The 16,062-nt window shown below is 50.9% G+C and overlaps 1 protein-coding gene across 4 annotated transcripts in view, besides 4 other annotated features; it reads right to left on the bottom strand.

Annotated features, from left to right (window-relative positions):
• Nucleotides 1-16,062, bottom strand: part of SLC48A1 (solute carrier family 48 member 1) — a 28,818-nt gene that overhangs the window by 6,944 nt on the left and 5,812 nt on the right. For 2 of the 4 annotated variants that reach the window (XM_047429134.1, XM_005269016.4), the window contains one exon: nt 15,407-15,592. In XM_047429134.1, coding sequence (XP_047285090.1) covers nt 15,407-15,592 — 186 coding nt within the window. Of the gene's footprint in view, nt 1-2,367; nt 2,571-15,406; nt 15,593-16,062 lie in introns of those variants that run through there. The other 2 variants (NM_017842.3, XM_017019617.3) reach the window with 1 other exon arrangement.
• Nucleotides 1,338-1,842: an enhancer, noted in NCBI's record as "H3K4me1 hESC enhancer chr12:48167749-48168253 (GRCh37/hg19 assembly coordinates)". NCBI's record gives its function as "activates a minimal SCP1, AML or CMV promoter by ChIP-STARR-seq in naive H9 embryonic stem cells {active_cell/tissue: H9 hESC(naive)}" and the evidence as "EXISTENCE:reporter gene assay evidence [ECO:0000049][PMID:30033119]".
• Nucleotides 1,843-2,349: an enhancer, noted in NCBI's record as "H3K4me1 hESC enhancer chr12:48167242-48167748 (GRCh37/hg19 assembly coordinates)". NCBI's record gives its function as "activates a minimal SCP1, AML or CMV promoter by ChIP-STARR-seq in naive and primed H9 embryonic stem cells {active_cell/tissue: H9 hESC(naive and primed)}" and the evidence as "EXISTENCE:reporter gene assay evidence [ECO:0000049][PMID:30033119]".
• Nucleotides 1,843-2,704: a biological region, named in NCBI's record as "H3K4me1 hESC enhancer GRCh37_chr12:48167242-48167748".
• Nucleotides 2,095-2,704: a silencer, noted in NCBI's record as "silent region_4397". NCBI's record gives its function as "represses an Ori minimal core promoter by ATAC-STARR-seq in GM12878 lymphoblastoid cells {active_cell/tissue: GM12878}" and the evidence as "EXISTENCE:reporter gene assay evidence [ECO:0000049][PMID:35858748]".

Below are 16,062 nucleotides of genomic sequence, written 5' to 3'. Positions count from 1 at the left end.
CACCCGTGAACACTCTGCCCACCAGACCCAGGGGCTCCATGACTCTGCTCCAGAAACTGGCACATCCAATCAGTCCTTGCCTGGTCCAACACAGGAGAAGGAGCATGCTGGGGCTACCCTTGGGTGACTCAGCAGATTCTGAGCTATAAAACGCTGAGTCAGAAGTAGGGTGCTCACACGTTAGTTAATCTGCTGACACTTTACCCCCAAAAGAGGAAGAAGGTTGACTGGCCACAGACCCTCTGAGAACTCACTCATGGTGGGGAAGGTCGGAGGCCCAGGCTTGGCAACCCCTCTCCCTGCCACCATCCACCACCACCACTACCAAGCAGTTTTGGCTCTTCCACAGCCACTGTCAAAGATCAGACCATCAGGGAGATACCAGGACCCTACTCCAGCTGGCTGCTGCCCTAGCGAGCTGCTGCCCTAGCGAGCTGCTGCCCTAGCGCCTCTCTCTGAAGGCAGCTCCACAGCTGGCCTGCCTCATAGGCCAAGGGAAGCCTGTGGGGAGGGAGAGAGGGCAGAGTTGGGTCGGAAGAAAACCCCAGGCAACTCCCTAGAGTATAAGAAAGAAGGCCTTTTCCACAGCCCTCTAGGAGGCAGCTGGAGACTCAGGGAGTGGGCAGCACTGCAAGATTTCAGATCTGGAGGGAAGTCAGATGTCTTTTGGGGACATCTCCTCCCACTCCTAATAGATGAGGAAACTGTGGCCCAGGATAGGGTCAAACGGCCAGGTAGGGTTCACCTCCACTTGTACCAGGCCAGACTCAACACAACCAGCTGAGATCCCAGGCTGGCCCTCCCTGCTCATCCTTCTCTTGCCTTCGGTCTTCGCAATGCAATCATAGGGCTCTGACGCCGCCTTCCAGAGGGGAAAGCAACAGGGCCAATAGGAAACAAAAAAGTGGCAGGGAGAAGTGAACCTTGACAAACATGGAGGGTGGCGGGGTGCAGTGGGGAAAGGAACTAGGGCTCTGTAGATAACGCGCAGAGATGGGCCAGTTGTCCTCAGGATCCCACAGGTGGTGAGGCAGCTGGGCAGGCAGAGAACACCCTAGCCAGGGTGCCCATCCCCCCTTCTTGGTGACCCAGTGCTTTGTTGGCATTGTGTAGGGTGGGGCCCTGTATGCCCCTCTTCTAAGGCATTAACCCCACCTCATGCTGCGACTCTACCCAGGGATGGCACTCAGCACTCCCTGTGGCAGTGAGTAAATTAGTTATTTTTAGTTATTCCATTTAGGGTTCTTTTGGCCGAGGATTTTAGTAATGGAATATAATCATCATATGTAAAAGTATTATACGTATTTTCTTCCCAAAGTCCTTTCCCACACATATTATTTCATGTAGCTGTGTAATCCCGGGTAAGCAATTTATTTAACTTCAGGCCTCAGTTTCCTTATCTGTAAAATGGACATAATCGTAAGGCCTACTTCATGAGACTAATGTAAGGATTAAATGAAATAAGGGAAGCAGGTTGCTTAACATAGTGCCTGACACATAGAAAGCATTTTTTAAAATGTTAGAAAGTAGAGATAATATTTTTCATCTTCATACCAATTCTATGGCGCAGAGAGGTTAAACTGCGAGCCCAAATGTGCACAACAAGGAGCACTGGTCAGCCCAGAGCCCCCATCAGCGCACCGATGCTTCCCCTTCCCTCCCAGAAGCACAGAAAGGGCGGCTGGCCTGCAGGATTTGGCAGAGCTTGGCTGAGGAGCCACAGCAGACGGGTAGCAAAAAGGCACCAACATGGGTGGAAAGAGAATGTCCAGTTTCTATGAGATCCCTAACGCCGTCCTCCCTGTGGGTCTCAGCAGAGGGCTCTGCGGGGGAGCCCTCTGGAAGGAGGGAGATGGGCTTCCCCAGCCACCCCTAGCCCTCTTCCTTTCCCACTTCTTCCCTCTCTGCCCTCACCCAGCACCCAGGGAAGGGGCGCCTGGGGGGCAGGGGATCCCTCAGAACAACCGTGTGTGTGTGCGTGTGTGTGTGTGTGTGTGTTTGGGGATAGGAGGCGACCAGCGCCGCGGGCGCGCGGAGGGGACACTGTCGTGGGGCAACTGGGCGGAGGGCGACAGGCAGTGTGCCGTGACAGATAACCCGGGCGGCGCGGCAGGTCTGTGCAGCCGGCAGTGGCGGGCCGTCGGCACCCCCAGGTGGCGCCCGGGCGGGCATCGGGTCTCAGAGGCACCCAGGAATGCCCAGGAGCCCGGGCCCGCGTGGGGCCTGCCGCCGCCAACCGCTGTTTTCGAGTAAACACTCCACCCGCTCCGCGGGGAAGCGCCGCTCGCGGGGAGCGTCCTGGAGCAGCTGACGGCGCCCGCCCCGCAGCCGCGCACCCGCCCCGCGCCGCCCAGCGTCCCGGGGTACCTGCGAGCCCTCCCATGGCCGCGGTCCCCGGCTGTCGGTAGACCACCGTCCAGACGAGGAAGATGGAGAAGCCGGCCACGGAGCTGATGCCGGAGTAGGCGGCGCGGAGGCCGAGCTGCAGCCTGGACGGGGCCATGGGGCTGCGGCGCCGGGCGGGCCGAGGGCGAGCGCGGCCGAGAGTCACAGGTGCAGGGCCCGAAGCCGCCAGCCGGAGCCGCGGGAGCCGCCAGAGCAGCCGGCGCCCCGCGCTCCGCCCCCGGCCCGCCCCCAGCGCCGCCCGCACAGCGCCCTCCCCGGCCGGAGGCCGCCCGCGCCCGGAACCGCAGACGCCACCGCCGCTTTGCGAAGCTGCCGTGTCGTTTGGGGGAATGCTGCTAAAAAGGCGGATTCCTGGGCCCATCCCCAGACCCGCCGTGTCCGGATTGTTGGACCTTGGAAGGGACCGGAAATATGCCTTTATACGAGCGAACCGCGAGGATTAAAAATCTTTACCTCTGAGTACGATGCGTATTTTCGTTTAAAATTAAAATTAAAATTTCTTGTTAAAAATTAATAGGTAAAACTTAAGAAATATTAGAGTACGCTGTGAATAGAATTCCTTCCGCCCGTCCTTCTATCAACCAGGTTCCCTCCCACCATATCGCAGAGGATTTCTCCACACACTAAAGTCTGGGAACCCCTGCGACCATCACCTTCTGACTGCAAACATTCTATACATTCTATCCTCACGCACAGCTCCCCACAAATCCCTACTTTTTTTTTTTTAAACAGAGTCTCACTCTGTTGCCCGGGCAGGAGTACAGTGGCGCCATCATAGCTCCGCATCCTCCAACACCTGGATTCAAGCAATGCTCTCACCTCAGCCTTCCAAGCAGCCAGGACTACAGGTGTGTGCCACCACGCCTGGCTAGTATTTTTTGTTATTTATTTTTTGTAGAGATAGGGTCTCGCTATATTGCCCAGGCTGGTCCCCAACTCCTGGCCTCAAGCTGTCTTCCCACCTCGGCCTCCCAAAGCGCTGGAATTACAGGCTTGAGCCACTGCAACGGACCTCACCTTTCCTTTTATCAGCACAAGCCTTATCCTCCCAAACCCCTCACCCTGACCCTCGGGATCATACCATTGTAAGGAAGAGACAGATCTGTAGCAGGAGGGCACTGAGCTCCCACGTGAGCCCAGCTTCCGGCCGGGAGCTGGAGGGAAAATCCCAGCACAATAACAAGGGCTCTGCCACAGCACTAAGGATCCACATGGGGAGGCCCATCATATACCTGCACAAAACATAACCAATACCCCTTGCATTAGTTTTTTTTGTGTGTGTGCTGCCGTAACAAATTACCACAAATTTACTGATTTAAAATAACACAAACTTATTATTATTTTACAGTTCTGTAGGTCAGGAATCCAAATAATGGTCTCACTGGGCTAAAATCAAGGGGACATCAGGGTTGCCTTGTTTCTGGAGGCTCTAGGGGAAAATCAGTTTCCTTGACTTTTTTTTTTTTTTTGAGACGGAGTCTTGCTCTGTCACCCAGGCTAGAGTGCAGTGGCGTGATCTCAGCTCACTGCAATCTCTGCCTCCTGGGTTCAGGTGATTCTCCTGCATCAGCCTCCCGAGAAGTTGGGATTACACGCTTCCACCACCACACCCAGCTAATTTTTGTATTTTTAGTAAAGATGGGGTTTCACCATGTTGGCCAGGCTGGTCTCGAACTCCTGACCTCAGGTGATCCGCCCACCTCAGCCTCCCAAAGTGCTGGGATTACAGGTGTGAGCCCACCGTGCCCGGCCGCCTTTTCCAGCTTCTAGAGTGAGGCTACCCACATGCCTTAACTCCCTCTTCCTCCTTTTCCCTTCTAAGGACCCCTGTGATTGAGGGGATAGTCCAGGATAATCTCCCCATCGCAAGATCCTTAATTTTATCACATCAGCAAAATAAATCCCTTTGCCGTGGAAGGTGACATATTCATAGGTTCTGGGATGAGGACGTGGACATCTTTGGGGGCCATTATTATCCCACCCACCACACCCCCTCTGGAACATAAACTTCATGAGCAGGGACAGTGCCAGTTTTGTTCACATCAACATCTAAAAGCATGTCTGGCATATAATGACCCCTTAATAAATGTTTGTTGAATAGGTGAGTGTGAGTGAATGAAGGTAAGAATAAAATAAAAACAAAAGCAATTATACACAAGGAATCTAGACAGGGTGTGCTTAACTGCCAAACAAGGGATGTAAACCAGTGTTAAGCACATTTGCCTCACTCTAGAATAATCTGGGAGCTTCTTTAAAAATAAAAAAATAAACCCAGCCCCACCCCTGCCTATTAAATTTTGAATCTTGGAGTGTGTATTTTAATGAGAAGTGATGTCAAGGCTGTGAGCTCAGCAGCAGCCCTCCTTTAGGAGCTGCCGGTGGAGAGTGAGTGCTGGTCCTGTGGAGGAGGGAGCAAGCCCCGTGGTCCGGAGTGCATTTCCATGGATGGCTTCAGAGCTGGCCAGGATGGACAGTACTCCAGGCAGTGGGAACCGCACGTGTGATGGCGCAGAGGGAAGAAATAAAGCGGCCGCTTTGGGAAACTGTAAGTCGTTTGTGGCTGGAATGTCAAGTTTGAAGGTAGAGTAGCGGGTTTGGAGATTAGAAAGGTTCTGAACATAAAGGGCCTTGCATGCTCTGTTAAGAAGGCTGTCCCCCTCCCCTTGGGGCTGGGGGAGAAAACTCACAATTCTGTGTTTTAGAACTATGGCCAGAGTAATAGAGTGAAGGCGAACTGCCTGTGAAACACTAGAAGCAGAGAGATGAGTTGGACAAATTTCACCCCACAGTGCTTTAATTACCAGGTCTTTAAAATGGAGACTGCAGTAACACCTACTTCAAAGTGTTGTGATGAGGAGTGCCTGGAAGAGTGCCTAGCACATGGTAGATACTCAATAAATGTCAGGAAGTAGAATTAGTAGCAGCAGAAGGCTGCCATGGCAAGAGAGGATGAGGGGCTTCAGAGCTGGTCCAGGCAGAAGCAGAGAGAATGGAAGAGACGAAACTGCTTCAAGAGCTATTTCAGCTATCTGAACCTAAAGGTCAGGGGAGAATTCATTAGCTGAGCAGACAGAAGGAGGAGAGCAAAAATATTATGAGTGGACATATTAGGAGTATGGGAGAGCAGTGAGCAAGCTTGCTGTGCTGGAAAGTGAGATTGCGCAAGAAAAGAAAGAGAAATAATTATGTAACAGTAGTACTAGACCAGGTTGTACAAGGCTAAGGCCAGGCTTAAACATTTTTTAAATTGTGGAAACAATGAAGAGCTATTGCAGAGCATTAGACTCAGGTGGGGTCAGAGGCCTAGCTTCACCATTTGCTGTGACCCTGGGCAAGTGCCCCTAACTCACAGATGTCCAATCCAATTGACTTTCTGCCTGGAAGAAAATATTCCATATCTGCACCCTCCATAATGGTGGCCACTAATCACAGGTGGCTATTGAATACTTGATATGTGACTAGTGTGACTGAAGAACTGAATTTTTAATTGTATTTAATTTAAATTAATTTAAATTTAATGTATTTAAGTTTAGTGTATTTAATTTAAATTAATTTAAATTTAATTTAATTAATTTAAGTAGCTGCACATGACTAGTGGCTACTGTGTTAGCACAGCTAGACCCAGGACTCCTGTCCCTCCATCTGTACACAGGGAATGATGATGAAACATCACAGGCTTGTTACAAAGATCGAGATATATTGAGATAATACACTCAAAGTGCTCAACACAGTAATTCAACAAATTATTGCTGCTGCTGTTGAAATTGTTATTGTTTTTATTGAACAGGGATTGCATGACATACGCCAAGTCTTAGGAAGATTAGTTAGACTATAATATCCAGTTAGATTTGATGGGGGAAAATTGTAGAGGATAAAGCATTCACAAGGTTATTTCAGTGGTAAGGTGTGAGAGAATTAAGATCTTATCCAGTGAAAGACCTTGAGAATGGGAAAGAATGGAATGATTGTTGAGCCATAAAGCACATGGGTGTGCACCACTCATACACATCTTCTCATATCAGCTTCCTTCCAAGGTATTCTCAGAGAGTACACTCCCAACCCAGCCCAGGACAGACACTACTACGACCCCTACAAGATGCACAGCCATTCTCCCTGCCTGCGCCAGAAACTACTAGTGCTCCACAACACACACCAACATTTGTGTGTCTCTTTCTGGGCACAGTACCTCCCAAATTTGAACTACACTTCCCAGCTTCCTTGCAGTCAAACGGATGCCATGGGATCAGGTTCTGAACAATGGAATGAAGGCAGAAGCAATGTGCGCCATTTCTAGGCTGGGCTCATTTAAAAATCTTCCATACAACCTGCATTCCCTCTTCCCATTCTGTGACAATTTTAGAGGCCATATGTACCACATAATGGAAAGAACCTAGGCTTGAATGAATGGATGGAGCAGAGCTACCCCTGTCCCCTAGACCCTCACTGGACTATAGAATATGAGTGAGAAGTGTCAGTGGCTTTGTTACAGCTCAGTTGCTTGTTACAGCTAACCTTATTATCCTAATACATCATCCCTCATTCCACTGAAGTTCATCTAAACAGGTCCTATATAGATTACCCGTCTAAACCATCAATCCTTCTGAAGTCTCTTTTGAACTGGGTCCCACCAACACTAAGACAGATTTCTAATTCCCCATCTGCAGACATCCTGACTGCTGACATTCCTTTCTCACTCCCCGCAGATATACACATTCCAGACATATCTTCTCCCACAATGCTGGGTCAAGGATACACCTACTGAGCTATCTTCCAGATGATTGAGTTTATTGGACATGTCAGGGCTTCCTCCTCTCCTGTTAATCCCCATGCAGAGAGACCTCTGATGTCCCTGGGGCATGTCTTTGTTTACTGTGGCTCAGACCCAAACCTAGGTGTTATCTCTGAGTCCTCCCTTTCCTCTGCTCCTACAACAAATTCATTACAAAATACAGTTGGATTTGCCCTGTCCTCTCTCTCCATTCCCTCTGCCACCCTAGTCCAGCCACCATCATCACCACCTACCTACCTGCAGCAGCCTCCTAACTGGTCCTCCTCTGTTCGTCTTTCCCCCTCTAATCCTCTCTCCACCAAGCAGCTGGAGCAATCTTTTAAAAATAATAGCCATGGCCGGGTGCAGTGGTTCACGGCTGTAATCCCAGCACTTTGGGAGGCTGAGGTGGGTGGATCACTTGAGGTCAGGAGTTCGAGGCCAGCCTGGCCAACATGGCAAAACCCATCTCTACTAAAAATACAAAAATTAACCAGGCGTGGTGGCACGTGCCTGTAATACCAGCTACTTGGGAGGCTGAGGCAGGAGAATCACTTGAACCTGGGAGGTGGAGGTTGCAGTGAGCCAAGATCGCACCACTCAACTCCAGCCTGGGCAACAGAGTGAGACTCCGTCTCAAGAAAAAAAAAATTTAAATAAATAAATAAAAATAACAACCAGAACATGGTACTCCCCTGCTTCAATCACTCCAGTAGCTTCCATAGCTCTTAGAGTAAATTGATTGGGGTCTTGCCAGCTCCAACCAGCCTTACTCACCCTTGCTCATTTTACTTCAGACACATTCGCCTTTCTGTTTCTCAAACGTGCCACACTTGTTCCTGTCCCAGGTTTTTTGTGCTTTGTGCCCGGAAAGCTCTTCTCTGAGTGTTTATAAGATTGATCCCTCATCATTCAAGTCTCAGCTCAAATGTTACCTCCTCAGAGGATTCCTCGCTCTGTTTTATTTCCTCCACAGCACTTATCATGACAAAAAATTGTATTTTTACTTTCCACCCCTACTCCTGCTGTCCCTATTGGAATATAATCTCCAGGAAGGCAGGGTAACTGACTCGTCCTGATTCATTGGGGACTCTTCCAGTTTTACCACAAAAAGTTCCACGTCCCAGAAAACCCCTCAATATAGGGCAAACTATGATAGTTATTCACTTTATGTCTGCCTTGATCACTTCTGTATTCCCAGTGGCTAGTATAACGCCAGGTGCCTAGGTAGGAACTCAATAAATATTCAATACATATGAAAAGGGCTGAATGTCCATAAATAATTCTTTGACCCTGGCTCTAGGGGGCAGCCTTCCCCAACCTTGTGCCTGAACAGACAGCTTTGCAGGTTGGACTGGTAGCTTGTGTACCTAGGTAGTGAGTTCCACAGGATTCTCCCTAGACCTTATGTGGTCCCCTTGCCGCCCCTCCACCCCCCCACCCCAGCCCTTGTGGAGTTCACAGCTGAGGACCCTGGCTGTGGCAACCCGAGGCTGTGCCTGACACAGAGGTAGATTCCTTCCCTCTCCCCATTCTACCCCACCCAGGCCCCCCTCCTGCAGCTTCGCCTTCCTCCTGAGGTCAGGCTTGTAGACCACAGAGCAGAAAGGGCTGTCCTAGACAGCAGCAGCAGGTGGCTGGCTGCAAGGAGGAGCTGGCCCCATCACCATGCATTCTAGGAGGTTGCAGGGAGGACTCAACTCTAAGGGCTACCTTGGACCCAGAATGCAGCTCCCCAGGGCTAGGGCTGCCTTCTGCCCCTTTAGAAGGGGTTCACCTCAATTCTCAGGGCTAGAGTGAAACTGCTCAGAGTCTGGCTTCTTGCTGAGACCCCATTTCCTCTGCCTGCCCACTGACAGCCTAGAGGTCTCTGCAGAGGGCAGGATGGCAAGTGAGAAGATGTTGAGTGGAAACAGCAGGTCTTTGAACTCAGGAGCTAAGAAAGCATCAGAGGCAGGTGGCCTGGGGGGTCAGGGGGAGGGGAGGGGGATCACAGGTGCAGCTGCCTGGGGAGAGCAGCATGAAGGAGCTAGGGCCCAGGCCTGCCTCCCTATCTTGGTGTTCTCTAGCGATCTCCATCTCCTAACCTGAACCCGCAATCACAGATACCTGATCTGATTCTCTTTCACCTTTTACTGAGGGAGCTGTTGCTGGATGGGGAGGGCGGGGTGGATAAAGCCTGCAATTCACCTCCACAGGGACTTGGGCCTGGGGACAAATGGGGCTGACTGACTTCCTTGACTCCTTGGAAGCTGCCAGGGGCAGGAGAAGGGCAGGTTGCAGCACTGTGAGGAGTGAGAGAATAATAAGGCTTGAGGGCAGGAGGGGAGGGCATTAGCTCTTCCCCAAGGGAAAAGCCTGGCAGAGGGGTTCATCAATATTTGCCCTTCAGATCTGAGTTTGAGAACTGGCTTTACTGAATGAGAAAGTCACCATGGAGCCTTCATCAGTGCACGTGGGTCCCCCTCTAGTCCAGCTGAATGGGCACTGGGTGAAGGAAAAGACTAGAAATAAGGCTCTTACCTGTGCTTAGTCCAGAGCAGGGGCCCCAAGAATGGCACCCTAGAGAGACTTGAGTGGCCACATCTCATGATACTTCTTGGAAGAGGAAGGGTTGGACAAGAGATGGAGTAAGACAGCGGGAGGAATGGCAATTGGTCAAGAACTGGGTGGACAGGCCCCAGGAGGGAAAGACAGATCTTGGGAAGCTAAGAGGGAGGTGAGAAAAAGCCATGGCAGGAGGGGGAGAAACTTGGTTACTATTAATGCAGGAAACCTCTCCTGAGGGTCTTCTCTGTATAAGGCACTGACCACGCAAGGCACGCATTTTTGAGTACAGCAGAGCAGCTCTCACCCTCCGGCAGCTAACATTCTCCTGGAGGAGGCAGCATGCAATACTTATGCAATGCTTTGATTTCAGTGTGGTGAGTGCCAGGCATGTGGCAGAGAAATGATGCCCTGCAGGGGAAGTCTGACACAGGCCAGGCCCTGAGGTGGGTGCAGAGCCAGACTCAGGGGCAGTGACAGGCCAGAAGCTGCCACTTTGCCTGGCCCCCAGGGCCCAGCAGGCACCCTCAGCTGAGGCCCCAGGAGGCTGGGCTTGGGGAGAACTGAAGCAGTTGGGGAGATTAAGTCAGGATTCGGTCCAGCCCTGCAGTGTGTTAGGCAGAGCTCACGGACCAGGCTCTGCACTTCCACCAGAGGCAAAGCAGGCAAAGCGGCTAAAGCAGGAGGGGCTGAGGCTGAGGGGTGGGAAGGCAGAGCAGTGGGGCTGCCTCTCTATCCCCCGCAAGGCCTGAGGGGGGCCTGTGCCCTCTCTCAGGCAGAACTGCAGACTTTCCCTTACTTCTGTTTCCTTCTCTGGACCCCACTTTTCTGTTTCCTTCCCCACTTTTCTGTTTCCCTCTGTGGACCCCACTTTTCTGTTTCTCTCTCTGGATCCCACTTTTCTGTTTCTCTCTCTGGATCCCACTTTTCTGTTTCTCTCTCCAGACCCTCTTCTTTGTACCCTCCCCTAATTTTTTTTTTTTTTTTTTTTTTTTTTTTTTTTTTTTTTTGAGACAGAGTCTCACTCTGTTGCCCAGGCTGGAGTGCAGTGGTGCGATCTTGACTCACTGCAACCTCCGCCTTCCAGGTTTAAGCGATTCTCCTGCCTCAGCCTCCCGAGTAGCTTGGACTATAGGCACACACCACCATGCCCAGCTAATTTTTGTATCTGTAGTAGAGATGGGGTTTCACCATGTTGGCCAGGATGGTCTCGATCTCTTGACCTCGTGATCCACCCGCCTTGGCCTCCCAAAGTGCTGGGATTACCGGCGTGAGCCACCGCACCTGGTCTAATTTCTTACCAAGTTCTTTCTGAAGGGAGGAAATGGGCAGTAGATCTGATGCCAGGAAAACTTTGGCCTATTCGGTTTCTTCTCTGACCCCAGTACTTCCAGAGTGGGATTTGGGGGTGGGATGGCTCTGCTCTGATGCTGGGAAGGGGACCTTAGCCCTAGCCTGCTTTCCTGGTTACCCACATCCTCCCCCTGCCCCAGCCAGTGCTCTGGATCCAGCCTGACTGACCAGGTCTGAGAGACAGAACTGGGCATCTCCTAAGCAGGGAACAGGGCCCTGCTAGGACCCCTCTTTCAGGCTCCTGCAGTCGCCCCTACCAAGACTCTGAAACAAAAGGACAAAGTGGGCACAGGGTTTGAGTCCTGAACAGAGGCCTGGGCCTGGGATGAGTTGGAAGATGGGAGCACTTAAGACAAAGGTTTTGGGAAGGTGGGGAAAGTTGCAAAGAGGGGAGTGGTGGGAGGTAGTAGGTAGTGTGGGTGTTCAGCCTCAGAACAGAATACAGGGGTGAGGAGAAAAGTGACTCTTAGGGAAAGTGGCCACAACTGGAATGGGGCAGCCATTGCAGAACACTGATCACTCAAGGTCAGATGCAGTGTCTCCTGGGACCCACACAAGACACACACACACACACATACACACACATGCTCTCTCTCTCCTTGAGAAGCAGAAGTTGGGGGAGAAAGCAGTTACTCGTTTCTATACATTCCTGTAACAGTAAACTTGCCGGGAGGCAGGCTGCTTCCCTCCCTTCTAGGGACCTCTCCAGCCCTGCCCGTCTTCGCCTGCTCTTCTGGCTTCTCTCACCCTGTCCCTACCCTCCAGCCCAGCATCACCACCTCAGGTCTGTTCAGCGACTGTTTCCTCATCTCCGCCATGCATGGCTAGCTTGAGCACCAGCCAGAGGAATGTGCCTCCAGGAGAGTGTGGGGTTCCTGCTTTCACCTCTGCAACTTCCTGCAGCTCCCAGCCCTGACTGTGAGCCCCAGCTTGCCCACATTGGCCTCCTACAGGAGGCAGGAGCCCATCCCTCCTCTCCCTCCCATCACTGTCATAAGTGGCTCATGAGTGACTGGTTGTGACCTGTTAGTCCTAGGAAGGTTTGGCTTGGGGCCCATTAAGGCTCCAGCTCCCTGCCGCTGCCCCCCACCCCAGGAATGGGCAAGGGAGGAGATGGAGGAGCTGAACTGGAACTGCCCTTGGGGGATGGAGCGGGGGCAAGAGTCAGAGGGCCTTAAACCATGCAGAGCCAGGAGGTAGAGTCCAGAGGAGGATACCTGCCTCTCTGCTCAATCTCTTCCCACTGTTGACCAACCACAGGCAAGGTCGACTCCTAGGGGTATTGTGGGAGGCTCAGCCACAGGCCAAGGTCCTGGCACAGCCCTTATATCCCCTACAGCTTTATCTCCCAGCTGGCCTCCAAGCTGGCCATTTGCTGCAGTCCCATGGGAGGCCTATTAGTGAAATTTTCCTCCATCCTCCCTCTCTCCATCCCACCAATCACCCTCAAATGTCACGGCTGAGCCTTGTGAACAAAGCTGACAGCACAGGATAGAGGAGACATGAGTAGGAGACAAGAAGGCAGCCAGGAAGGAGGGAGAGATGGCATGAAAGGCCTTGAAATTGAACTGGGAAACTAGCTCCTCTCCCTTCCACCCTGCTGAGGCTACAGGCCCATAGCAGGCACCAGCTGACTGCCCACTGTTCCTGTTCATTTCATTTCCACCCGTAATCATTAAGCATCAGCTTCATGCCAGACACTGTGCTGGGGAGGGAGAGCCAATCAGATTATTGTATTAGGGAGATAAAAGATAATTCCAATAGGCTCTGGGGCCCTGAAGATTTGGGACAGTGTCTGCTGCTCAGTTTGAGCTCTCCAGTTTACAGCAAAGTTCCCCGGCACCTACAGTAAATGTTGTTGAATGAATTCAAGATTCCTTGAATATTCTTGTGGCATTGCATAGTAAGGACTGAGCGAGGCAAGGTTGAGAGTAGCAATCGGGGCAGGAGGTAGCAGTGCACAATGGTGTTTAGGAATATGGACTCTGCAGTTAGACTGCCTGAGTCTGGCTGTACTACTTATTAACTGTGTGACCTTGGGAAAGTTACTTCGTCTCCCTGTGACTCAGTTTCCTCACTCGCAAATAGGAATTGTTCTGAGGATAAAAAGATGTATATAAAGTGACTAACATAGTATTCTGCAAATAGTAAATACTGGAAGAGACCATTATTGGGCTAGAACAGTTGCAGTGGGGATGGGGCATAACAGAGAGATGCAAGAGATGCTTCACTGGTTGAATCAAGCCGACTTGGTGGCTGGCTGGATGTGGGAGAATGAGGAATGTAGGGTATCAGGCTCCTCACTTAGGCAGTAGTGGAGTTTGGGAACAGGGAGCTGAGAGAGGCAGAGCAGGAGGAGAGGCCTCCTGGGGCAGGAAGGGAGTATGAGGTTCCTGTGAAGACCCAGGAAACTATGGGCTCACCTTGTGTAGAGCTCAGCAAAGAGGCCGAGGTGGGGAAAATCAAGCCCAGAGTCAAAGCCTGGTCTGAGAAGCCCCCTTCACCTTCCCACCCTCCTGAGCTATCCATGGGAGCCGCTGCCACCTGCTTGAAGGGAATGGGGGAGGGTTCAAGTAAGTCCATGCTCTGGCAGGAGCTCATTGTCCGAGTAGAGTGTATTAAGGGGTCCTGCTGTTTAGTTTCCATCATCTGTACCAAGGTGTGGGCAAATGGCTGTGGATATGAGTTTTTCCCCCTTTATAGGAGCTGTCAGTATGTTTCAGAGGCAGGACTGCAGAGTGGTAAAGCACACAGGGTAGAAACCACCTGGGCAGAGTCACTCATGGCTCTACCACTTCCTAGTATGGGACCTTGGGCAAGTCATTTAACCTCTTTGTGTCTCAGGTCCCTCATCTGTAAAATGGAATAACAAAAATAACAACCTTATCTCATAGGGTTGTTGTGACAATTCAGTCAGTGAATATATACAAAGTATCAAGAACAGGGCCTGGTGCATGTTGACTATTCTTATTATTATTTATCTGTCTTAACACACCTGCCAAGCATTTAATGACAGTCAGAGGAGGGTGGAGGCGGTACCAGGACATGGCATGATTGTTACCATCTTGCTTGCATGTGTTCCTCAGACACATTCCCAGTCCTCTGCCCCTTCTAGGCCTCAGCCTTGATCAAATATCTGCTGAGCAGTAATTCTACTGTCGGGTCCCCATCCAGGGATCCTGAGAAGGCAAAAACCTGCCCCGTCATCTGCTTTGATGGCAGGCTGGGGGCCTTGCCTGTTAGAGGTAGGACAAGCTAGAAATGGGACACATAAAAGATCTACTCCCTATGATCTCCCCAGGCTAGGAGCCAATAGGTAATCACCCCAGGTCCTCTTCTCAATCTCCCCAGAGAGGGGGAATGAAAAAGAAATGGAAAAAAGAAAGGCAAGAGTAGTGTTGAAGGGGAACATAGGTGGGGGAGTGGGTTGGGACAGTTTCATTTTCACCGATTTGAGTGATCCTTGGCTCCCTGAGGCTCCCCCACACCTCAACACAAACATATTCGATTTCCCCCCTGCCTTTTTTTTTTTTTTTTGAGATGGAGTTTCGCTCTGTCGCCCAGGCTGGAGTTCAGTGGCATGATCTTGACTCACTGCAACCTTCGCCTCCCGGGTTGAAAGAATTCTCCTGCCTCAGCCTCCTGAGTAGCTGGGATTCCAGGCGCACGCCACCACGCCTGGCTAATTTTTGTATTTTTAGTAGAGACAGGGTTTCACCATGTTGGTCAGGCTAGTCTTGAACTCCTGACCTCATGATTCACCCCCACCTCAGCCTCCCAAGGTGTTGGGATTACAGGCGTGAGCCATCGCACCCGGCCTCAATTTTCCTTTTTTGAGTAGACTCTCCTAGGCAGTCTAGTCTACATTAGAAGAATAGAATACATACAGAGTATACGCAGTATACCATGGTGAGTACGTGGAGACAGACAACCTGGATTCATGCCCCAGCTCCACCATTTACTAGCTGTGTGACTTTGGCAATTTCCTTAATATCCCTGAGCCTCAGTTTCCCCATCTGTGACGTGAGGATAACAGAAGTACATACCTCACAGGATCGTGGCAGGGATTAAACACATGGAAAGCACTTGAAAGAGTGCCCGCACATGATTAGATTTTGTAGCTCTGCTGAAATGTATACAAGTGTCCTGCCTCACTCCCCAGCATCTTCCACCTGCCCAGAGTAAGGGCAGCAAGAATAGGAAATAGGGGACCCCTTTGTGACCCAACTGCCAGTCTCAGGAAGCCTTCCTGCAAGAACTTCTAGGCCAGGGCACTGGCCCCAGCAACCCGAAACTCATGACTCCATCCCCCTAACTCTTCCCCATGCATACCTGTGACTCCCAACTTGTCATCCTTTCCTGTCAGTTTCCAGGTTGCTCTTCCTTCTTCCAAATTACCAGAACTCCGTTGAATGGATTTGGGTCTGAGGTCAGATTCATTCTCAGGCTTTCCTCCTTCCCCGGAGAGGCATTTAAAACTCCACCAGCGTTTCTTAATGTGTGGACACAGCAGATGACCTGGGGTGTTTGTTCCAAATACAGATTTTCCATTTCATGCCAATAGGATTGAATATGAATTGCTGGGGACGGAGCCTGCATTTTAGTAAGCTTCTGGGAAACATTTTTTATACATGTATACATTAAAAATGGGATTTTAATCACAATTAAAATTTCTCTCCCCACTTTCAAGAAAATAATAATTGGTGGAGGATGGGGGCTTGGCATCCCAAAATTGGGAGTATAGGCTTCTTAGAGCTACCTCTTCCCAGTCTTCTCCTCACTTTCAAGAAAATAATCATGGTGGAGGATGCGGGCTTGGCATCCCAAAATTGGGGTATAGGCTTTTTAGAGATACTTCTTCCCAGTCTGGGCTGGCTCAACAGCAAAGGGAAAAGGGAAGAGAAGGGGCAAAAAGTCCTAAAAAGCTGGGGGTGGGGCGTTCACCTCCTTCCAAACCCTCATTATCGTCCTGAATTACGGGTCGCTGT

This window comes from Homo sapiens, chromosome 12, assembly GCF_000001405.40.
Source record: "Homo sapiens chromosome 12, GRCh38.p14 Primary Assembly".
In the NCBI taxonomy this organism is placed as follows: Eukaryota; Metazoa; Chordata; class Mammalia; order Primates; family Hominidae; genus Homo; species Homo sapiens.
This window is presented reverse-complemented; position numbering and strand designations above follow the sequence as displayed.